Source organism: Homo sapiens, chromosome 22 (assembly GCF_000001405.40).
Source record: "Homo sapiens chromosome 22, GRCh38.p14 Primary Assembly".
Lineage (NCBI taxonomy): Eukaryota > Metazoa > Chordata > Mammalia > Primates > Hominidae > Homo > Homo sapiens.
Window position 1 is genome coordinate 37850148 of NC_000022.11, and position 23159 is coordinate 37873306.

A 23159-nucleotide genomic window follows, 5' to 3' on the forward strand; every position below is an offset into this window, starting at 1 on the left:
AAATTGCTCTTTGATGGTCCAGGTTTGGAGTCAGTCATTAGCTGCCAGTGCGAGGGGTTTTATAAAGCCTAATAAACCAGGCTTTTTATCATAGTCCACCTCAGTCTTGGAAGAGAAGGATTACTTACCTGGCTATGGTTTTCTTGTGTAAACTATTAGCCAAATAAGAAAAGCTTTTTTGTTTTTGTTTTTGTTTTTGTTTTTGAGATGGAGTTTCCCTCTGTCCCCCAGGCTGGAGTGCAGTGGTGCGATCTCGGCTCACTGCAACCTCCGCGTCCCTCGTTCAAGCAGTAGTTCTCTTGTCTCAGCCTCCTGAGTAGCTGGGATTACAGGCGCCCACCACCATTCCCAGCTAATTTTTAAATTTTTTTAATAGAGACGAGGTTTCGCCGTGTTGTCCAGGCTGGTCTTGAACTCCTGACCTCAGGTGATCCACCCGCCCCAACCTCCCAAAGTGCTGGGATTACAGGCGTGAGCCACCGCGCCTGCCCCAAGGAAGAAAATCTTGATGTGAAAAATTTAAGTAATTCAAACCAAGCCCGAATGAAATCTTTTTAGGAGGTGTCTGAGGTTTCCTGAAACGTTATAGTGACTTGACTTAGTAGTCAGTGTTATCCATTGTTCTAAGTACTTTGTATGAAATATTTTGTTTAATCCTTACAGCAGTTCTGTATGTTAATGTCTCCTAAAGAATAGAAAATATAGCAGAGAGGTTTATTAGTAGTAACTTGGCACAGTCATATATTTAAAAGGTGACAGTTATTCATTCAAGAAATATTAAGTACCTGTTACCACTTACTTTCCAACAGTCTTGCCTCTCTCCCCTCCAACGCACACTTTTCTAGGCCCTGAGGGTATGTCTGAGTACAAGACAGACGAGATTCCTGACTTCCTAGACTTGGGAGAAGGGTGCAAAACAGATAATAAGTGAAAAATAACTTTAAGTCATGGTAATATTTTTGAAGAAACAGGGACAACGAGATTGGGAGTGACTTGAGATGTTTGTATCTCTGAGTATTCAAAAGGGAATTTTACGCAGACCTGAGTTTAGTTTCTGGGGTGGTCTTGCCATTTCGTTCTATCATATATGTGGGTTTGAGCATACTCTGTATTTGTTGTATCCAACCTCCAGGAGATCCAAAGCAGGACCTTGCTTATGAACGTCAGTATGAACAGCAAACCTATCAGGTGATCCCTGAGGTGATCAAAAACTTCATCCAGTATTTCCACAAAACTGTCTCAGATTTGATTGACCAGAAAGTGTATGAGCTACAGGCCAGTCGTGTCTCCAGTGATGTCATTGACCAGAAGGTGTATGAGATCCAGGACATCTATGAGAACAGGTATGGGCTACTGGCTGAAAGGGCCTCTTTCTGGGTGGGACTGGCCTGGTAATATAGTTCCTACAAATGAGGTGAGCACTCTGTAAACAGTACTTTCGGGGGGGTTGGGGGGTGGGGGTCTTTGTGAGTCCTTGAGGCTAGGGACATTTTATTTTGTTAGACTTTATTTTATTTATGCATTTGTTTATTTTTTGAAACGGAGTGTCACTCTGTCGCCCAGGCTGGAGTGCAGTGGCAAGATCTCGGCTCACTGCAACCTCCGCCTCCTGGGTTCAAGTGATTCTCCAGCCTCAGCTTCCCGAGTAGCTGGGACTACAGGCATGTGCCACCATGCCTAGTTAATTTTTTTGTATTTTTAGTAGAGACAGAATTTCACCATGTTGGCCAGGCGTGTGTTGAACCCCTGACCTCAAGTGATCCACCCGCCTCAGCCTCCCAAAGCACTGGGATTACAGGTGGGAGCCACCATGCCTGGCCTAATTTTTGTATTTTTAGTAGAGACGGGGTTTCATCATGTTGGCCAGGCTGGTCTTGAACTTCTGACCTCAAGTGATGTACCCCCGTTGGCCTCCCAGAGTGCTAGGATTACAAGCGTGAGCCACCATGCCCGGCCTGTTGGACTTTATATCCTCAGAAATTTATACAAAGCCTAAAATAATATCACTATTAACAATTATAATAATAATGATTAGCATTTGTTTTTATTACCAGGATAGATCCATCAATGTTCAGTGTGTTGTTTGTGTTTTTACTCATTTACCCTTCACAGTAAGCCCATGAAGTAGCAGTTTTTCTCATTTTACAGATGAGGAAACAGCACAGAAATAAGTCATGTAGCTAGTTTAATGGATGTGCTGAGATTTGAACCTGCAGTGTCTGGCACCAAAGCCTAATTTCTAAACTGTGCTATGCAGCCCTTCAGTACATATCAGAGCAAGCTGAACTCCGCAGGTTTTGAGGGGCTGCCGTTGTGTAATGAGCGTTAGAGATAAGATAGGTCAGTCAAAGCTGGGATAGTCAGGAGTGACTTCACCAAGGAAATAGAATTTAAGCAAGTCAGAAGGATGAGGGAGAGAAAACAAATAGCCAAAGGCCTATTGATCAATGAATAGGATCTCTGACATGTGTTTTCTTTTTTTGTTGTTTTGAAAGAGCTGATTGTAGTTGAAAAGCAGAGGAAACCTCAGACATTGCATGGTTTTAGGCCTCACCCCTGCCACTCTCGTGAGCCTAAGTTCTACTTGGTGTGGACTCCAAGGTCCTTCCCGCCCCTGCAAGCCACCCATTAGGTTGAGCTGAGAGATCAGCCAATGGGAACAGAGTCACTTATGACCAAGAAGAATTGATCTGGGGGTTAGTTAGTGAGGAGAGAGAAAGGGAGAAAACCTTGTTCGGAGGTTGAACACCTCCAGCCGAAGAAGGTGCAGCATCGAGGTCTTTCACCACTAGCAAATGGATCCAAGTCATGCGGCACCAAAAGAGGTTAGCAGCTGAAGGGTGTTGAAGTGACACAACACCAAAACATGCTACCAATGATGAATCCGTATCTGTACAGGTCTCCAGCAGCCTCAGTTCTTGCCTCCTCAAAAGAAAGAATTCGACTGAGGGGTAAAATGCTACCGATGATGAGTCCGTATCTGTACAGGTCTACAGCAGCCTCAGTTCTTGCCTCCTCACAAGAAAGAATTACACTGAGGGCTAAAATGCTACTGATGATGAGTCTGTATCTGTACGGGTCGACAGCATCCTCAGTTCTTGACTCCTAACAAGAAAGAATTCGACTGAGGGGCACAAGGCAGAAGAAGAGAGGGAGGCAAGTTTGAGAGCAGGAGTGAAAGTTTATTAAAAAGCTTTAGAACAGGAATGAAAGAAAGGAAAGGACAGTTGGAAGAGGGCCAGGTGGGTGACCTGAAAGGCAAGTGTGCTGAACTGTGTTTTCTTTATTCCCCGGGTCTTTTCTGATTAGAAGTATATAAATCAGCGCCTACAAAAATTAGCTGGGGCATGGTGGCAGCATGCCTATAGTCCCAGCTAGTTGGGAGGCTGAGGTGGGAGGATCACTTGAGCCTGGGAGGTTGAGGCTGCAGTGAGCTGCACAATGGAGCGAGACCCTCTCTCAAAATTAAAAAATGGACCTGATGTTCAATAGAAATGTAGCTAGACATTAATTTTAATTTTTCAGCCAAGCGAAGTGGAGATTTATTTAAAATATTATTTCTATATGTAATCAGTATTTAAAAATTAAGGGGATATTTGCCCTTTTTTTTCTTTATACTTAAAGTTTCCTAAATCCAGTGTGTATCAGAAATACTTGCTTTGTGTTTAGATTTTATAGAGTTTATGACTGGAAAAGTAATTCAAATTTGAAATTTGAATCTTCAAATAGTAGAGTAATTCCAAATAGACCTAAAAGTTTTCCAATACTGAGTTAAGTGTTGGTTTTTAAACTTAAATGGCAACTAACTGAAATTTAAAATTTAACTCTTTGCTTATATAGTAGCCACATGTAGCTAGTGGCTATTGCATTGGGCAGTGCCCGCAGATACAGATGACAGTTGAAGCCAAGCATCTTGTAAGTCTTTCTCTAGGAGAATGTGAGAAGAAATGCTGGTGCCTTAAGAAGTATGTTTCTTTAGGGATGGGTGGGCAGGCAAAGAAAGGATCTAGTAAAGGAGGCAGAAAGAAAAGTGAAAAGTAGATAGTAAATTGGCAAAGAAATGTCACAGGAACCAAAAAGTCTGCAGAAGAAACTGAGGAAGAGAGTATCACCAAATGTTTTAGTGAGGTCCAGATGAGAAAAAAAGCCAGTTGAATTTGGTAACTTGGAGGGCCTTGATAACCTTAGCAAGGTCAATGTCAGTAGAGTGATGGAAGCAACAGCCAGAGAGCAGTGGGGTGAGAAAGGGGAATTGGTAAGTATCGGGGACATAAAGGGTCACTGAGTGGCTTTGTGTTTTGTTTCTGTGTTTTTTCTGTTTTTGTTTTTTGTTTTTTGAGACAGGATTTCGCTCTTGTTGCCCAGGCTAGAGTGCAATGGCGCAATCTCAGCTCATCGCAACCTCCGCCTCCTGGCTCCAAGCGATTCTCCTGCCTCAGCTTCCCAAGTAGTTGGGATTATAGGTGTGCACCACCATGCCTGGCTAATTTTGTATTTTTAGTGGAGACGGGGTTTCACCGTGTTGGTCAGGCTGGTCTGGAACTCCTAACCTCAAGTGATCCACCCGCCTCAGCCTCCCAAAGTGTTGAGATTACGGGTGTGAGCCAGCGCGCCTGGCCTGTTTCAGTGTTTCTTTTCTGTTCTGTTTCTGTGTTTCTCCCCAACCCCCATCCCGTAGAGACAGGGCCTTCCTATATTGTCCAGGCTTGTCTTGAATTCCTGGGTTCAAGCGATACCCCTATCTTGTCCTCCCAAAGTGTTGAGATTACAGGCGTGAGCCATCATGCCTGGCCTGTTCAGTGTTTTTTAGGGGAACTTGAGCATGTTTATATGTTGGACTAAAAGAGCCAGAGAAGCAGGAGGGGTGGGGCTTGAGGAGATTGGAGGAAAGTATTAATAGCTGCTGAGGGCATCAGGAGAAGAAAATTAAACAACCTGTTGCAGGTTTGTCAAGTAGCAGTGTTTGGATTGGATAGGCAGCAGTGTTTAAATTGGATGCTGTAGGTCTGTTGTGGCCTTGGACTGCAGCAGACTGATTTGCTTCTGTGTTTAGAGACGTTTGGATGTGCTCCAGGAGATGGAAACGCTGTGTTAAAGAATGGTGGCCAAAAAAGTAGTTCTTATAGCAGAAAACAGCAAGCAGTTAAATATGGCTATAGTTAATGATACAGAGGCAGGAGATTATCCTGAAAAGCTTGATGGGTCCCTAACTGATACAAAAACAATATTTTCTTGTGTTGAGAAAGATTGAAGTGTGGAGTTGGGTTGAGGACAGTTGTGGGCTTGAAGGGCTTTGGCCTCAGCTCTGTTTATTTGACATCTTCCCCTTTCTAAGCCTGGGTCCTCATCTGTAAAATGTTAGGATTGGCATTCTCCAGTCCTTTTGGAATTTTAGAGATTTTTTTCTTGATTTTTAGCTGGACCAAGCTGACTGAAAGATTCTTCAAGAATACACCTTGGCCCGAGGCTGAAGCCATTGCTCCACAGGTTGGCAATGGTAGGTGTGAGCTCTTTATATCTTGTGCACTGAGTGGAATCCAGTGGCTGAGTCATTAGACAGGAAGCTCAAGAGGGTCTGTGTCTGTTTTGCTCACCATTTTGTTTCCTTGGTGCTTGGTATGTAGTAGGTCCTTGGCAAAATAACTTGTCGAAGGCTGGATGATTTAAGAGAGGACAGAGATCTCTCATATATGGTGAAATTTAGATCTTTGTACTGACTTGTTTCTATTTCCTTCTATAATTTGGGGGTCATTACAGTCACTCTGGAATAAGCTCTCTAGCTTCCCACCTTTGACTTTCTTAGATGATGTCCTTTATATATGGGTGAGGTAGGCAAATCCAACTTCATTATTTTGCTTGTGGATATTCAGCTACCCTGGCACCAATTTATTTATTTATTTATTTTATTTTATTATTATTATTTTTTTTGAGATGGAGTCTCGTTCTGTCTCCCAGGCTGAAGTACAGTGGCACAATCTTGGCTCACTGCAACCTCCGCCTCCCAGGTTCAAGCGATTCTCCTAGGTTCAAGCAATTCTCCTACCTCAGCCTCCCGCGTAGCTGGGATTACAGGCGCCCGCCACCACGCCCAGCTAATTTTTGTATTTTTAGTAGAGACGGGGTTTCACCGTGTTGGCCAGGCTGGTCTCGAACTGCTGACGTCAGGTGATTCGCCCACCTCAGCCTCCCAAAGTGCTAGGATTATAGGCATGAGCCACCGCACCCAGCCTGCCCAGCTAATTTTTAAAAATTTTTTGTAGATACCGGGTCACACTTTGTTGACCTGGCTGATCTTGAACTCCTGACCTCAAGTGATCTTCCCAGAGTGCTGAGATTACAGGCATGCACCACTGTGCCCAGCCACATTGTCTTGATTACTATATTTTTGTAGTAAGTTTTGAAATGGGGAATTGTAGGCCGGGCGCAGTGGCTCACGCCTGTAATCCAAGCACTTTGGGAGGCCGAGGCGGGTGGATCACCTGAGGTCGGGAGTTCGAGACCAGCCTGATTAACGTGGAGAAACCCCATCTCTACTAAAAATACAAAATCAGCCGGGCATGGTGACACATGCCTGTAATCCCAGCTACTTGGGAGGTGGAGGCAGGAGAATCACTTGAACCCGGAAGGCAGAGGTTGCGGTGAGCCGAGATCGCGCCATTGCACTCCAGCCTGGGCAACAAGAGCGAAACTCCGCCTCAAAAAAAAAAAAAGAAAGAAAGAAATTGGGAATTGGTAAGTCCTCCAACTTTGTTCTTTTTTTTTTTTTCCCCAAGATTGTTTTGACTATTCTGGGTCTCTTGGATTTGCTTATTGATTTTAGGATGGACTTGTCAATTTCTGCAAAGTAGCCAGCTGGGATTTTGAGAGGAATTGCCTAGAATCTGAAGATCACTTTGGGGAGTATTGCCGTCTTAACAGTATTAAGTCCTCCAGGCCAGGCGCGGTGGCTCATGCCTGTAATCCCAGCACTTTGGGAGGTGAAGGTGGACGGATCACGAGGTCAGGAGATCGAGACCATCCTGGCTAACACGGTGAAACCCCGTCTCTACTAAAAATGCAAAAAAGTTATCTGGGCAGGCCGGCATGGTGGCGGGCACCTGTAGTCCCAGCTACTCGGGAGGCTGAGACAGGAGAATGGCGTGAACCCGGGAGGCAGAACTTGCAGTGAGCTGAGATTGCGCCACTGGACTCCAGCCTGGGCGACAGAGCAAGACTGCGTCCCAAAAAAAAAAAAAAAAAAAAAAACCAATATTAAGTCCTCCAATCTATGGACATGGGATGTCTTTGATTTATTTAGGTCTTTGGTTGCGTTCACCAGTGTTTTGTGTTTTCAGTGTACAAGTCTCTCATTTGTTTTGTTATAGCTAACGTTTTTTTGAACACTTAACTCCTTTTTTTTTTCCCCCTAAGATGGAGTCACGGAGTCTTGCTGTCTTGCCCAGGCTGGAGTGCAGTGGCGCGATCTCTGCTCGCTGCAACCTCTGCCTCCTGGGCTCAAGCAATTCTCCTGCCTCAGCCTCCCGAGTAGCTGGGATTACAGGCACCTGGCGGATTTTTTGTATTTTTAGTAGAGATGGTGTTTCACCATCTTGGCCAGGCTGATTTTGAACTCCTGACCTCAAATGATCCACCCGCCTCAGCCTCCCAAAGTGCTGGGATTACAGGCATGAGCCACTGCACCTGGCCTGAACATTTACTCTCAATTGACTAAACACAGAATGAGTTCAAAACTCATTCTGTGGCTGGGTGTCGTAGCTCACGGCTGTAATTCTGGTACTTTGGGAAGCTGAGGTGGGAGGATTTCTTGAGGCTGGGAGATTTAGACTAGCCTGAGCAACATAGGGAGACCCCCTTCTCTACAAAAAATTTTTTAAAAAAATTATCCAGGCATGGTGGCACATGCCTGTAGTCCCACCTACTCGGGAGGCTGAGGTGGAAGGATCACTTGAGCCCTGGAAGTCGAGGCTGCAGTGAGCCATGATCATATCACTGCACTCCAACCTTGGCAACAGAGCGAGACCCTGTCTTCAAACAAACAAACAACATTCTGAAATTAATATTTTCTTTCTTCCTTTTTTTTTTTTTTTTTTTTTTTTTGACATGGGGGTCTCACTGTGTTGCCCATGCTGGAGTGTAGTGTGATAATGGCTGACTGCAACCTGTGCCTGCTGGGCTCAAGCGATCCTCCCACCTTAGCCTGCCGAGTAGCTGGGACCATGGGTGCGCACCACCACGCTTGTCTAATTACTCTTGTGTGCTGGTTTTTTTATGCACTTGGATGGCAGAAGTCTCTAAATGGTGAAAGGAAATAGATCTGAATGAGATCTTAATCTCATCGACAGAGATTGAGGTTGATGGAGTCAAATGAGAAGTGGATTTTCTCATTGCATGTATTCTTGGGGCATATGCATAGCAATTTAGATGTTGTTTAGTCTTCAGAATTACCTTTATTCCTCCCCACCAAAGAGCTAAAGCTGCCAGGATACCCCAGTTTTATGGTTAGTGAAGCACCCTTCTGCCATCTCTTTCAGATGCTGTCTTCCTGATTTTATACAAAGAATTATACTACAGGCACATATATGCCAAAGTCAGTGTAAGTATTTAAGTGTCGCAGTTTTTTTTTTGTTTTTGTTTTTTTAACTCTGTGCTGTTTTTGTCCCTAGAACACAGTCATTTGTTTATATTGGTTCAGTGTCTGGGCATGATTGGCATGTTTTTGAGTTTTAAGAAGCGGTGGAAGGAACAGTTTAACCCAGAAAGCTGTTCAGACACACTAACGCTATATAACCTATGCATTCTTTTAAATTTCTCTGTCCCCACAATTCTCCTGGACTGGGCAATCACCCATGCACTGGTTATAGGCTGCCAGCCTCATAGGATATTTCCAGGTACCTGCTGCTGCTTCTGCTTGGGGTTCTTTTTCCCTTCAGAGCATTGAGCCTCTGTTTCTCTGAGATGTACATAACACTGTCACTGTATGCCAAGCACAATGCTAGGCACTTAGCACACATCTTCACATATCTAATTCTACTATCAATCGTGCAAAGTTGGTACCCGAGGTGCCAAGAGGTTACCTTTTCTCAAATTTATCCAGCTAGTAAGTGACAAAACTCCTTGAATCTAGACCAGCTTGTTATAACACCAGTATTCTACACATTATCCCAACTTTGAGCACTTGCTAGATTCTGTTCTTCCCGACTTCTAAATTATAGAGTACGTGAAGTTTCTTTTTTTTTTTTTTTTTTTTTGAGAGAGAGTGAGTCTCGCTCTGTCGCCCAGGCTGGAGTACAGTGGCGCGATCTCAGCTCACTGCAGGCTCCACCTCCCAGGTTCACGCCATTCTCCTGCCTCAGCCTCCTGAGTAGCTGGGATTGCAGGTGCCTGCCACCACACCTGGCTAATTTTTTTGTATTTTTAGTAGAGACGGGGTTTCACTGTGTTAGCCAGGATGGTCTCCATCTCCTGACCTCGTGTTCCGCCCGCCTTGGCCTCCCAAAGTGCTGGGATGACAGGCGTGAGCCACCACGCCCGGCCTAGAGTGCCTAAAGTTTCTTAAAATGCCATCTGTACTATTTAAGGCTGGGCGCGGTGGCTCACGCCTATAATCCCAGCACTTTGGGAGGCTAAGGGCAGGTCACCTGAGGTCAGGAATTTGAGACCAGCCTGGCCAACATGGAGAAACCTCGTCTCTATTAAAAATATGAAACTACAAAAATAAGCTGGGCGTGGTGGCGGGTGCCTGTAATCCCAGCTACTTGGAAGGCTGAGGCAGGAGAATCGCTTGAACCCGGGAAGCGGAGGTTGCAGTGAGCCGAGATCGTACCACTGCACTCCAGCCTGGGTGACAGAGTGAGACTCTTGTCTCAAAAAGAAAAGAAAAATGCCATCTGTATTATTTATATACACCAATGACTTAATCTCTATCTTTAGCCTCAGTTGCCCCACTGAAGTCCAGACTTGTATATTCAGCTGTCAGCATCTGCACTTGGCTGTCTGAGTCATCTGAAGCTTAACACATCTAAAACTGAATTCTTATTTTCCCTCTAAACTAGTTTTTCTCATGGTAATCATCTCAATAAATGCTACCGTTTATTACCAAGTTAATTGGACTAAAAGCCTTGGCATTATTCTTGACTTTTCTCTGACATGATATCCAGCAAATCCTGTTAAGCTCTGTCTTCAACATACTTCTTTTTGTTGTTTTGTTTTATTTTGTTTTGTTTTTGAGACGGAGTCTCGCTCTGTCATCCAGGCTGGAATGCAGTGGCGCCGTCTCGGCTCACTCCAACCTCTGTCTCCTGGGCTCAAGCAATTCTCCAGGCTCAAACGATTCTCCTTCCTCAGCCTCCTGAGTAGCTGGGATTACAGGCATGCACCACCACGCCTGGCTAATTTTTGTATTTTTAGTAGAGACAGGGTTTCGCTATGTTGCCCAGGCTGGTCTCGAACTCCTGACCTCAGGTAATCCGCCCGCCTCGGCTTCCCAAAGTGCTAAGATTACAGGCGTGAGCCACTGTGCCTGGCCTTCAGCATACTTCTTGAATCAGCCACTTTTCACTGCCACACTGCTGCTCACCTAGTTGAAGTCATTATCATCTCTTCCCTGAATTACTGCAGGAGCTGCTTACCTGGTGTCAGTTTCCACTCTTGGCTGTTTATTCTCAACATAATAACCAGCATGATCCTTTTGCTACATAGTTTCATCAGGTCACTTCCAATCCTACCATGACTTCCCATCACACTTACTAATTCCAGGTTTTAGCCCTGTTTCCCTTCTCACTCATTTCCTGAAACTTTCCCCCTCCCTCCCTGGGCTCCTGGCAATATTCGTGGCACTTCAGAGCACTTATCTCTTGTACGTTGTATTTGTTTATTTAGGGGAGGGAGTTTCTTAATCTACTGGAAGGTTAACTCCACCGGGGTATGTGCTTGTCTTGTTCACCAATATAATCCAGTGCCTAGAATAATGTCTGGTCATAATGGTGTTAATTGAGCATGTGTGTGCTTGCATGCATGTGTAAGTGAAGGAAATTGGCACCAAGATCTCCACCTAAGGAGGTCCTAGTTTCTCACAGTTACTCACCCCTCTTCTCCTTGAGGACCGCTTGATATGGCTAGAACTCCTGCCTTGGCCACAGGAGCCACTGTCAGTAGTGGTAGGTGGAAAAGTTCTTGCTGCCAGAGTAAGGGGCCATGTTTTTCCGGCATCCCAGCGGGATCTCTGACTACTTTATCTGATAGAAAGTAAAGATTCCTGGCCAGGCGCTGTGGCTTACGCCTGTAATCCCAGAACTTTGAGAGGCTAAGGCGGGTGGATCACGAGGTCAGGAGTTCGAGACCAGCCTGACCAATATGGTGAAACCCCGTCTCTACTAAAAATACAAAAATTAGCCAGGCGTGGTGGCGTGTGCCTGTAATCCCAGCTACTCGGGAGGCTGAGACGGAAGAATCACTTGACCCCAGGAGGCAGAGGTTGCAGTGAGCTGAGATTGCACCGCTGCACTCCAGCCTAGGCACCAGAGCGAGACTCCGTCTCAAAAAAAAAAAAAAGTAAAGATTCCCTACTACCATTGATGCTAAAGTTCAGGTACTTTGTGGATATGCTAAGAATCTAGCCATTATGTGTACACTGCTTTTTTGGGAACACCATGACACCATAGCCCATAGTATAGCTGGTTTTACCACCTCTAATCTCTCTGTTTGGTCTGTAGATGAAGATTCAGCAGAAGCTTATTGATGCTGTTATCTTTTTATTAGCTACCAGGACTCCTACATAAATGACCAGTTTTAAGCCCTTGGGAAGCAGTTTTTCATTGAATGTGCTTAGATTGTGCTTAATGTATTAAGCACCTTACATAACTTTTATTAAACAGAGACGGGGTCTTGCCATGTTGCCCAGCCTGTTCTCAAACTCCTGGCCTCAGGTGATCAGCCCACTTCAGCCTCCCAGAGTGTTGAGATTACAGGCGTGAGCCACTGCGCCCAGCTATATAATCTTACTTCATTGTGACTAGTCAACAATCTTTTGCCCACATTTTACAGAGATTAAATACCTTGTGAGAACCCCACAGTTAATAAGAGGTGGGACTGACTCCAAAGTTGTGTTTCTTCTCCATCACAAATACATTGCTCATGGTATGGTTCCCCAGCTCAGAAACTATCAGTGGTTCTCAGATGCAAGCAACATAAAGACCAGACCAGGGGTCAGCCACCTTCTCTGTGGAGGGTCAGATAATAAGTATTTTAGTCTCGAGGGCCATGATGGTTTCTGTCAGATCTGTTCAGCTATGTCTTTGTGGCAGTTATCAACAATATGTAATGAGTGGGCATGGCTGTGTTCCAGTAAAACTTCTTTATTTACAAAACAGGTGGCGGAATAGATTTGCAGGCCCCCTGACCTAGATGCTTGTTTGGCGTTGGAAGACTGCAACATTCCTGGCCCGTAGTCTAGTGATGCCCGGTGCAGCATTATCTTCTCTTAACTCCCTAGCCTTCAAGTGCCACGATTTAACTTCTTCGCCTTTGCTAGTGTGGTTTTTTTCTGAAACACTTTTCCTTCTCTCTGCTTTGCCAGATCATCATCCCTGCTCTGAGGGTCATTTAAGGTCTGTTGCTGTAGAACCTAACCACGTGTTGCAGTATTCAGTGCGTCAGCTGCTATAGGACTTTCTATCTTCCCTCTCACTTGCATATTTACATAGTAAGAAAGAGAGGACAGATACCAATTCTCTTGTATTTGTTCACAGCTGTCACAGTATACCATGGGTAAAACACATTAAAATTAAATATCTGTATCTTGATATCTCTTGTTTTCTTTACAGGGGGGACCTTCCTTGGAGCAGAGGTTTGAATCCTATTACAACTACTGCAATCTCTTCAACTACATTCTTAGTGAGTCTGAGATTTGGCCAAGAGGGTGTGTGTGGTTATGATGAGGTTCAGCATTGGCCTCCAGCTTTTTTTTTTTTTTTTTTAAATTAGCAGGATCTTAATGTGTAGGTGGGAAGAGGGGAGGTCTTGTGATTCATGGTCCTTTTAAGAGAGAAATTACAAAGCATTCTGCAGCCTACAGAATGGGCAGAGTCATTGCTTTGAATCTGACTTTTCTGTGATCTCCTGCACAGATGCCGATGGTCCTGCTCCCCTTGAACTACCCAACCAGTGGCTCTGGGATATTATCGATGAGTTCATCTACCAGGTATCTGGTCAGCTTCAGCCTAATTTGAAATAACTGGTCCATGCCAGGAATAGCTGTTACTATTGTTTGTGTAAAAAAGCTGCAGGGTGTAAAAATATCCCCATTGTAGTGTAAAATACCCCATGGCAGTAGACTCCAGTTTCAGCTGGCTTTCGGAAGAGGCAGGGAAGCCTAAGCACTCCAGATAGGAAGCTGGAAGTCGGATAAGTTCAGCTCCTGACCTTCATCAAGCTCTTACTAGACCTTGTTAGGTGGTCTGGTGGTAAGAACACAGGCTTCACAGGCTTTGGAGCGAGGTGGAAGTGGATTCTAACTTGGGTGCTGCCACCTGCTGGTAGCTCTGTAACAGTGATGTGCTATTTAAACTCAGAGCCTCACTTTCTTTACCCACACAATGGAAATGTTCTATTATCTTTTTTTTTTTAAGAGTCAGGGTCAGGCCGGGCGCGGTGACTCACGCCTGTAATCCTAGCACTTTGGGAGGCAGAGGCGGGCAGATCACGAGGTCAGGAGATCAAGACCATCCTGGCTAACACGGTGAAACCCCGTCTCTACTGAAAGTACAAAAAATTAGCCGGGCGTGGTGGCAGGCGCCTGTAGTCCCAGCTACTCAGTAGGCTGAGGCAGGAGAATGGCGTGAACCTAGGAGGCGGAGCTTGCAGTGAGCCAAGATCGTGCCACTGCACTCCAGCCTGGTAACAGTGCAAGACTCCATCTCAAAAAAAAAAAAGAAAGAGTCAGGGTCTCACTCTGTTGCTCAGGCTAGAGTGCAGTGATAATAGCTTACTGCAGCCTAGAACTCCTGGGTTCAAGTGATTTTCCCACCTCAGCCACCTGAGTAGCTGCCACTACAAGGCCCACACCAACTTACGTGGATATTTATATTACTGTAGAGACGAGGGTCTTGCTGTGTTGCCCATGCTGGTGTTGAACTCCTGGCCTCAAGTGAGCCTCTTGACTTGGCCTCCCAAAGTGAGCCACCATGCCTAGCCATCTATATCTTGATTGTGGTGGTGGTTACTTAAGTGTATGCTCGATCAGAATACAATAGAACATTTTCATCACAACAAGAATATCACCTACCTCAGGAGTTGCTGTTCAAGGTCGAATGAGAACTGTGCCAAATGCAAATAAAGTACAGCAGCTGTGTAGCCTGGGGGTAAAAGTCCAGGTTTTGCTGTTGCTGTTTACTGGCTTTTTTTTTTTTTTTGGAGATGGAGTCTGACTCTGTTACCCAGGCTGGAGTGCAGTGGCATTATCCCGGCTCACTGCAACCTCTGCCTCCCGGGTTCAAGCGATTCTCTTGTCTCAGCCTCCCCAGTAGCTGGGATTACAGGTGCCCACCACCACGCCCAGCTAATTTTTGTATTTTTAGTAGAGACGGGGTTTCTCCATGTTGACCAGGCTGGTCTCGAACTCCCAACTTCAGGTGATCCGCCCTCCTTGGCCTCCCAAAGTGCTGGGATTACAGGTGTGAGCCACCGCGCCTGGCCTACTGGCCCATTTTAAAATGGTAACATGTTCTGTTGTGGGCACATTACTTAACCACACTGTGCATTGGTTTCCCCATCTCTAAAACGGATTGCTGCGAATGTTGCTGAGATACTACGTATAGAGTGTTTAGCATAGTGCCTGTCACAGAATAATTAATACACGTTGCCTGTTGATTGTGATGATGTTCAATGTCATCATTATTCTTTTCCATCTTATTTAGCCCAGTCCTTCTATTTAAAAATACAGATTGCTCACAACTGTAATCCCAGCATTTTTGGGGTCCAAGGCAGTAGGATCGCTTCAGTCCAGGAGTTCGAGAAATAGAGACTACAAAACATAAAATAGGCTGGGCGTGGTGGCTCACGCCTGTAATCCCAACACTTTGGGAGGCCTAGGTGGGCAGATCACGAGGTCTGGAGATGGAGACCATCCTGGCCACAATGGTGAAACCCCATCTCTACTAAAAAAAAAACAGCTGGGCGTGGTGGTGTGCGCTTGTAATCCTAGCTACTCGGGAGGCTGAGGCAGGGGAATCGCTCGAACCCGAGAGGCAGAGCTTGCAGTGAGCCAAAATCGTGCCACTGCACTCCAGCCTGGCGACAGAGTGAGACTCTGTCTCAAAAAAAAAACCAAAAAAAATAAAATATATAATTTGACAAAATATAATTCTTTTCCCCCTTTTTGTGCTGTCTATAGCTCTAACTGATTATTTCAGGATAAATTGGTATCTTAATAAAGATGTTATTAGAACTCCGTGAACCAGGGAGACGTTGTGTATACAAAGTGCTGAACCGTTACGAGTGGTGAGCTGAGAAACCTTCATAGTGCTCCTTGAGAAGGAGGCTTCCTGCTCAAGATTAGGCTTCAGTGCCTTTCATAGCAAAGGCCACAAACCGTACTGGCCTTGTTTGCCCTCTGGCTCCTTGGCTTGTGTCATCCTTTTATTTGGAATATTTATAGATGAATAGCAGTCTTTTTGACTTAGAGCAAGTGAAGAAGGATCATCCGTGCTGATTTTCTTTATCCCTCTTAAGATAATCATAATTCCCTGGGCTTAGCCAGTGTTGTTGTTAAGGGGCTTACGGTGCTTTCTAACAAAGACTGTCCAGTGAGGGTCAGTAAGTGGCTGGTGTATTTCGTCCTGGCCAGGTAGATGCCACATGGGGTAGGTGGCTCTTCCTCGCCACCCTGTTTTATTTATTTGTTTTTGTTTTTTCAAACTACAGATATAGTGAAAGTGCCTGCCTTGCTTGCTTTTGCAGAGGTATCAATTACTGTCTGGAAGGAAAGGCACCTTGTTGATGTTTCTCAGGCACTTACATAAACATGACTGTATAAAGAGAGATCACTTCAAAAATGGTTACGTACTCTATTGTGCCATTTACTGTGACTTGTTAACACACTTAAACCATATTTTCATAGACCTGACTTGCTCTTTTGCTGCAGTGTGCGTGATATGGATATACCATGCCTCTGATGATGAACCTTTGGGTTGTCAGTTTCCACAATTACAGGCAGTGAATCAGTGAATATCCATATATATGTTGTACACAGGCATATTTTTAGGGATCACTACCTAGAAGTAGAATTGTGGATTGAACGATACTTGCTTTTTAAGTTTTTTTAAATCAGCTTACTGAGGTATAGTTTATTTTTTTAAGTAGAGATGAGCCACCAGCTCGCGCCTGTTAATCCCAGCTCTTTGGGAAGCCAAGGCGGGTGGATCACGAGGTCAGGAGTTCGAGACCAGCCTGACCAACATGGTGAAACCCCGTCTCTACTAAAAATACAAAAAAATCAGCCGGGCGTGGTGGCAGGTACCTGTAATCCCAGCTATTTAGGAGGCTGAGGCAGGAGAATCGCTTGAACCTGGGAGGTGGAGGTTGCAGTGAGCTGAGATTGCGCCACTGCACTCCAGCCTGGGTGACAAAGCAAGACTCTGTCTCAAAAAAAACAAAAAACAAAAAACAGGTGTGAACCACCATGCCCAGCCATGAGGTGTAGTTTAATATACAATAAAATGTACCAGAATCAGTGTACAGTGGATGAGATTCAACAAATGTGTACAGTGCCACAATCAAGATAAAAGAACGTTTCAATCACTTTGAATTATAATAAATAGTAATATATTGTCCCACCAATGGGCTGTATCAAATTGTGTTACTACCAGCGGTGTTTGAGAGCAACTGTTGGTTTTTTTGTTTCTTTGTTTAAGAGATGGGGGTCTTGCCTTTATGGTCCAGGCTGGAGTGCAGTGGTGTGATCATAGCTCATTGCAGCCTTGACCTCCTGGGCTCAAGCAATCCCCCCACCTTAGCCTCCTGAGTAGCTCGGACTACAGGTGCACCCAGCTGATTTTTAATTTGTTGCAGAGATGGGGTCTTGAAATCCTGGGATAAAGCAATTCTCCCTGCTCAGCCTCCAAAAGTGCTGGGATTACAGGCGTGAGCCACCATGCCTAGCCAAGACCAACTGTTTTCTGTACTGGATATTATCAGTCTGTCTAATTTTTGTCAGTTCAATGGGAAAGAAATTCTGGCCGGGCGCAGTGGCTCACGCCTGTAATCTTAGCACTCTGGGAGGCCAAGGCGGGCAGATCACTTGAGGCCAGGAGTTCGAGACCAGCCTGGCCAACATGGTGAAACCCCGTCTCTACTAAAAATACAAAAATTACCCAGACTTGGTGGTGCATGTCTGTAATCCCAGCTACTCAGCAGCTGAGGGATGAGAATCACTTGAACCGAGAGGCAGAGGTTGCAGTGAGCTGAGATCACACCACCGCACTCCACCCTGGGCAGTAGAGTGAGATTCCGTCTCAAAAAAAAAAAAAAAAAAATCAGCGCGGTGGTTCACACCTGTAATCCCAGCACTTTGGGAGGCCGAGGCAGGCGGATCATGAGGTCAAGAGATTGAGACCATCCTGGCTAACACGGTGAAACCCCGTCTCTACTAAAAATACAAAAAAATTTGCCAGGCATGGTGGTGGGCGCCTGTAGTCCCAGCTACTCAGGAGGCTGAGGCAGGAGAATGGCGTGAACCCAGGAGGCGGAGCTTGCAGAGAGCCGAGATTGCACCACTGCACTCCAGCCTCGGAGACAGAGCGAGACTCCATCTCAAAAAAAAAAAAAAAAGAAAAAGAAAAAAAAATCATACTTTTCTGATTTCCCATATTAATTGTCAATTTTGTTTTCTTTGAAGTGATCATCACTATTCTTTGCCTGTTTTCTATTTGATTGCTTTTTTAATTGCATTACGAGAATTCTTTGTAGGATTTTTTTTTTTTTTTTTTTTTTGAGACAGAGTCTCGCTCTTTCGCCCAGGCTGGAGTGCAGTGGCATGATCTCTGCTCACTGCAGTCTCCACCTCCTGTGTTCAAGCGATTTTCCTGCCTCAGCTTCCCAAGTATCTGGATTACAGGTGTGCACCACCACGCCCTGCTAATTTTTTTTTTTTTTTTGCATTTTTAGTAGAGACGGGGTTTCACCATGTTGGCCAGGCTGGTTTTGAACTCCTGACCTCAAGGGATCCACCCATCTCGGCCTCCCAAAGTGCTTGGATAACAGGTGTAAGCGCCACCGCACCCAGCCTGAGAATTCTTTATATATTCTGGATATTCTTTTTTTTTCCCCCCTAAGGCGGAGTCTTGCTCTGTCACCTAGGCTGGAGTGCAGTGGCGTGATCTCAGCTCACTGCAACCTCTGCCTCCCAGGTTCAAGGGATTCTCCTGCCTCAGCCTCCCGAGTAGCTGGGATTACAGGCATGTGCCACCACACCTGGCTATTTTTGTTTTGGTGCTTTTTTTTTTTTTTTTTTTTTTTTTGAGACGGAGTTTTGCTCTTGTTGCCCAGGCTGGAGTGCAATGGTGCGATCTTGGCTCACCGCAACCTCTGCCTCCCAGGTTCAAGCGATTCACCTGCCTCAGCCTCCCGAGTAGCTGGGATTACAGGCATGTATCACTGTACCTGGCTAGTTTTGCATTTTTTGTACAGATGGGGTTTCTCCATGTTGGTCAGGCTGGTGTCAAACTCCCGACCTCAGGTAATCCGCCTGCATCGGCCTCCCAAAGTGCTGGGATTACAGGCATGAGCCACCGCACCCGGCCTGTTTTTGTATTTTTAGTAGAGATGGGGTTTCACCATGTTGGCCAAGCTGTTCTCGAACTCTTGATCTCATGATCCATCCACCTTGGCTTCCCAAAGTGCTGGGATTATAGGCGTGAGCCACCGTGCCTGGCATATTCTTTGTTTTTATATTACAAAATTAGCATTTTGTCCCACAGTCTAGAAGAAGATAATTTTTTGTGTTTTGAGACAGAGTTTTACTCTGTCACTCACACTGGAATGCAGTGGCACAACCTCACCTCACTGTAGCCTCCGCCTCCTGGGCTCAGGCAAAGCCCGTACCTCAGCCTCCTTAGTAGCGGAGACTGCAGGTGCCTGCCACCATTCCTGGCTAATTCGTTTGTGTTTTTTATAGCGATAGGGTTTTGCCATGTTTCCCAGGCTGGTCTTGAGCTCCTGGACCCAAGTGATCTGCCCACCTCAGTTTCCCAAAGTGCTGGGTTTACAGGGGTGAGCCTCTGATCTCTGCTGGAAGAGTTGAAGAACAGTCTTAGATCTTCTAAGACCTAGGTTTTAGGTCTGTGATTTCCAAACCTGATGCACACCAGATTCAACCAGAGAACTTTAAAAAATTGAGTAGGTAGGTCTGTTGTGTTCCATCTGTGTGACTGCTGGAGCCAGGCCAGGAGTGCTTCCAGGTTCTACTTCTGTCCCAAACAGATTCCTGTGGCATATCTTCTCTGTGTTCGTTGTGCTTGGCCAGACGACTCTGGTTGAGAGTGGTAGAGAGGTGACATAGTCTGGGAACTGATGGTCAGCTGTGGTAGGGAAGGCTCACACGTGCAGATACCTATTACCACATCACTGCCCATAACCCAGGGCGTACCACAGTCTAGCTGCATCTGAATAGATGGTACAAGAGCCCCTGTGGTGTTTCTGGTGGCCCGGTCAACTGCATTGTGAGGCCCAGAGACAGGAAGTGACTTTGGGTTGTGTTTGACTCCAGATTGGATGTTTTTACCACAGACTACCTCTAATCCTAGAGATTTTTACTTCACTGTGTAGTAAGTAACATTCAGTAATGAACAGAATTCACAGTTTAGTCAAGATGGCTTTGAAAAACAGTGTACGGAATGGTTTAGAATGAGAAGTGGTCATCTCACCCTCACCTTGCCCCATCCAGAGCCAGAGCATTGCCTCGTTTTCAGCATTGTGGACATGGATGATCACTTTGGGCTTATACCACTACTGCATGTTTCTTTTCTTCCTCAACAGTTTCAGTCATTCAGTCAGTACCGCTGTAAGACTGCCAAGAAGTCAGAGGAGGAGATTGACTTTCTTCGTTCCAATCCCAAAATCTGGAATGTTCATAGTGTCCTCAATGTCCTTCATTCCCTGGTAGACAAATCCAACATCAACCGACAGTTGGAGGTATACACAAGCGGAGGTGAGTGCAGCAGGCCGACAGCCGTGGCCTGCGAATTTCCAGCTGCTTGCCATCTGTTCCAAATGAATAGATCACTGCAAGGAGAGCAGATGAGTCACCATGTCTTAGGTGGTGGTCTGTTGACTCTTTGTAGGTGCTTGAGTACAAACAGTAGCAGAGTATTTGTGCTGGGGGCTCTGGGGCTTGGGAGTCCATTGGCCAACAGACTGAACCAGCACATTGAGATTTGCGTTTGTAAACACTTCTGTGTCTCCAGTGCTTTTGTTTAGATAAGCACTTCTCACACGTGTTGGTGTCAGAGCCACTTTACCCTGTTAAAATATTGAGAACCACAAAATGTATCTATTTTAAAAAATTTTTTTCTTTTTTTTTCAGTGAAGAGTGGCATTTTTGCAGATCTCTCTGTCTGGCTGAGATAGCTGGCTTCTCATTTCTGCTTCTGCATTCAATCTGTTGCAATGTGTTCTTTTGTTTGAAGCACATAAAGAAAATCTGGCCCAGGCACTGTGGCTCACACCTGTAATCCCAGCACTTTGGGAGGCTTAGGCAGAAGGATCGCTTGAGTCCAGGAGTTTGAGACCAGCCTGGGCAATATAGTGAGACTTTGTCTCAAAAAAAATGTTTAAATTGACTGAGCATGGTGGGTGGGGTGCCCCTGTAGTCCCAGCTACTCGGGAGGCTGAGGTGGGAGGATTGCTTGAGCCCAGGAAGCAAAGATTGCAGTGAACTGAGATCACACCACTGTACTCTAGCCTGGGCCACAGAGCGAGAACTTGTCTGAAAAAAAAAAAGAAGGAAAATCTGGCTTCACACGGTTATAGGAAGTTTTTTTGTTGTTTGTTTTTGAGACAGGGTGTCGCTGTGTCACCCAGTCTGGTCTTGGACTCCTGGGCTCAAGCAGTCCTGCCTTGGCCTCCCAAAAGTGCCAGGATTATTGGAGAGGATTTTCTTTGATACTACACCATGTAGTAGTATGTATGGGTTGAATATTCCTGACTTGAAAATTTGAAATCTGAAATGCTCCAAAATCTGACTTTTTGAGCACCAACATGACGCCGTAAGTAGAAAATTCTACACCCAACCTCATATGAGCAGTTGCAGTCAGAACTTCGTCTCATGCACAAAAGTATTTAAAAGATTATAATAAAGTTACTTTCAGGCTGTGTGTATAAGACATATATGAAAAATAAATGAATTTTATGTTTAGATTTGGATCCTATCCTTAAGATACTCATTAGGGCCGGGTGCCATGGCTCACGCCTATTATCCTGGCATTTTGGGAGGCTGAGGCGGGCAGATCACCTGAGGTCAGGAGTTCAAGACCATCCTGGCCAACATGGTGAAACCTCATCTCTACTAAAAATACAAAAAATTAGCCGGGCCTGGTGGTGGGCACCTGTAATCCCATCTACTTGGGAGGCTGAGGCAGGAGAATCATTTGAACCAGGGAGGCAGAGGTTGCAGTGAGCCGAGATCGCACCACTGCACTACAGTCTTAGTGACAGAGCGAGACTCTGTCTCGGGGAAAAAAAAAAAAAAAAAAAAGATATCTCATTAGGCATATGCAGATATTAAAAATTGCAAAATCCAAAACACTTCTGATCACAAGCATTTATAGAAGTATACTCACCCTGTACTTCTTTGAAGTAACCAGTGGTAGTTTCATACAGATTAGGTGCAGTGAGGAATCTGAAACTGTATTGGTGAATTTTTCTTTTGTTAACGTTATTCGTCACTTCTGTAATTTGAATGAGTTCCTTACATCCATGTGTGACTTTTTTTTTTTTCCTGAGACAGAATCTGCTCTGTTGCTCAGGCAGAGTGCAATGTCATGATCTCAGTTCACTGCATCCTCTGCCTCCGGGGTTCAAGCGATTCTCCTGTCTCAGCCTCCAGGGATATAGAAAGGAAGGATTACAGGCACACGCCACCACGCCGGGCTGATTTTTGTATTTTTAGTAGAACAGAGTTTGACCATGTTGGCCAGGCTGCTCTTGAACTCCCGAGCTCAAGTGATCTGCCTGCCTCGGCCTCCCAAAGTGCTGGGGTTACATGCATGAGCCACTGCGCCTGGCCATGTGTGATTTCTAAAAAAATATTGGTTCTCTGAGTTATAAAGATCTTCCAAATGTTGACACATTTTATTACATTTTTTTAAAAAGTCAGATTTGTTACTTTTGCCACTGACATCAGGTAAGCATTTATTTGTAAGCTATAGAGCTTGTAGTGGCAGATACAAGTTTTACAAAATTCCATTTTTGCTTAATAGCTTGAATTTTTATTTATTTTGAGATGGGGTCTCACTCTGTCACCCTGGCTGAAGTGCGGTGGCACAATCATGGCTCACTGCATCCTCTACCTGCTGGGCTCAAGTGATCCTCCTACCTCAGCCTCCCAAGTAGCTAGGAACGCAGGTTTGCACCACCATACCTGGCTGATTTTTTTTTCTTTTTTTTTTGGTAGAAACAAGGTCTCACTTTGTTGCCCAGGCCAATCTTGAACTCATGGGATTTCATGTGTGAGCCACTGTGCCCAACCTTTGAACTGTTTTATAGGTAGCAAACACTGTCAGTTATTTTCTTTGAGGTATGACAGGTTTACTTCATTTTTGTGAAAATGTCTGCCCTTTTTTCCTTCTTTTTTTATTTTTATTTTTTTTGAGACAGAGTCTTGCTCTGTAGCCCAGGCTTGAGTGCAGTGGCACAATCTCTGCTCACTGCAACCTCCGCCTCCCAAGTTCAAGCAATTCTCCTGCCTCAGCCTCCCCAATAGCTGGGACTGCAGGTGTGCACCACCACACCCATCTAATTTTTGTATTTTTAGTAGAGACGGGGCTTCACCATGTTGGGCAGGCTGGGCTCAAACTCCTGACCTCAAGTGATACGTCCGCCTCGGCCTCCCAAAATGCTAGGATTACAGGCATGAGCTGCGCTCAGTTGCGTATCAGTTTTTTTTGTTT

The 23159-nt window shown here is 45.2% G+C and overlaps 1 protein-coding gene across 6 annotated transcripts in view, besides 4 other annotated features; it reads left to right on the plus strand.

Moving 5' to 3' along the window:
• Positions 1-23159, plus strand: part of EIF3L (eukaryotic translation initiation factor 3 subunit L) — a 39989-nt gene that overhangs the window by 729 nt on the left and 16101 nt on the right. For 2 of the 6 annotated variants that reach the window (NM_016091.4, XM_006724260.5), the window contains exons 3-8: positions 1133-1343; positions 5418-5497; positions 8532-8593; positions 12822-12891; positions 13125-13198; positions 20029-20200. In NM_016091.4, the coding sequence (NP_057175.1) occupies positions 1133-1343; positions 5418-5497; positions 8532-8593; positions 12822-12891; positions 13125-13198; positions 20029-20200 (669 nt within the window). Of the gene's footprint in view, positions 1-1129; positions 1344-5417; positions 5498-8531; positions 8594-12821; positions 12892-13124; positions 13199-20028; positions 20201-23159 lie in introns of those variants that run through there. The other 4 variants (NM_001363785.2, XM_047441390.1, XM_047441389.1 and 1 more) reach the window with 3 other exon arrangements.
• Positions 2155-2449: a silencer, noted in NCBI's record as "tiled region #5684; HepG2 Repressive non-DNase unmatched - State 17:Gen3', and K562 Repressive DNase matched - State 14:Gen5'". NCBI's record gives its function as "represses a minimal TATA promoter and a strong SV40 promoter by Sharpr-MPRA in HepG2 and K562 cells {active_cell/tissue: HepG2 | K562}" and the evidence as "EXISTENCE:reporter gene assay evidence [ECO:0000049][PMID:27701403]".
• Positions 6596-7096: an enhancer, noted in NCBI's record as "H3K4me1 hESC enhancer chr22:38252750-38253250 (GRCh37/hg19 assembly coordinates)". NCBI's record gives its function as "activates a minimal SCP1, AML or CMV promoter by ChIP-STARR-seq in primed H9 embryonic stem cells {active_cell/tissue: H9 hESC(primed)}" and the evidence as "EXISTENCE:reporter gene assay evidence [ECO:0000049][PMID:30033119]".
• Positions 7097-7597: an enhancer, noted in NCBI's record as "H3K4me1 hESC enhancer chr22:38253251-38253751 (GRCh37/hg19 assembly coordinates)". NCBI's record gives its function as "activates a minimal SCP1, AML or CMV promoter by ChIP-STARR-seq in naive H9 embryonic stem cells {active_cell/tissue: H9 hESC(naive)}" and the evidence as "EXISTENCE:reporter gene assay evidence [ECO:0000049][PMID:30033119]".
• Positions 12403-12902: an enhancer, noted in NCBI's record as "H3K4me1 hESC enhancer chr22:38258557-38259056 (GRCh37/hg19 assembly coordinates)". NCBI's record gives its function as "activates a minimal SCP1, AML or CMV promoter by ChIP-STARR-seq in primed H9 embryonic stem cells {active_cell/tissue: H9 hESC(primed)}" and the evidence as "EXISTENCE:reporter gene assay evidence [ECO:0000049][PMID:30033119]".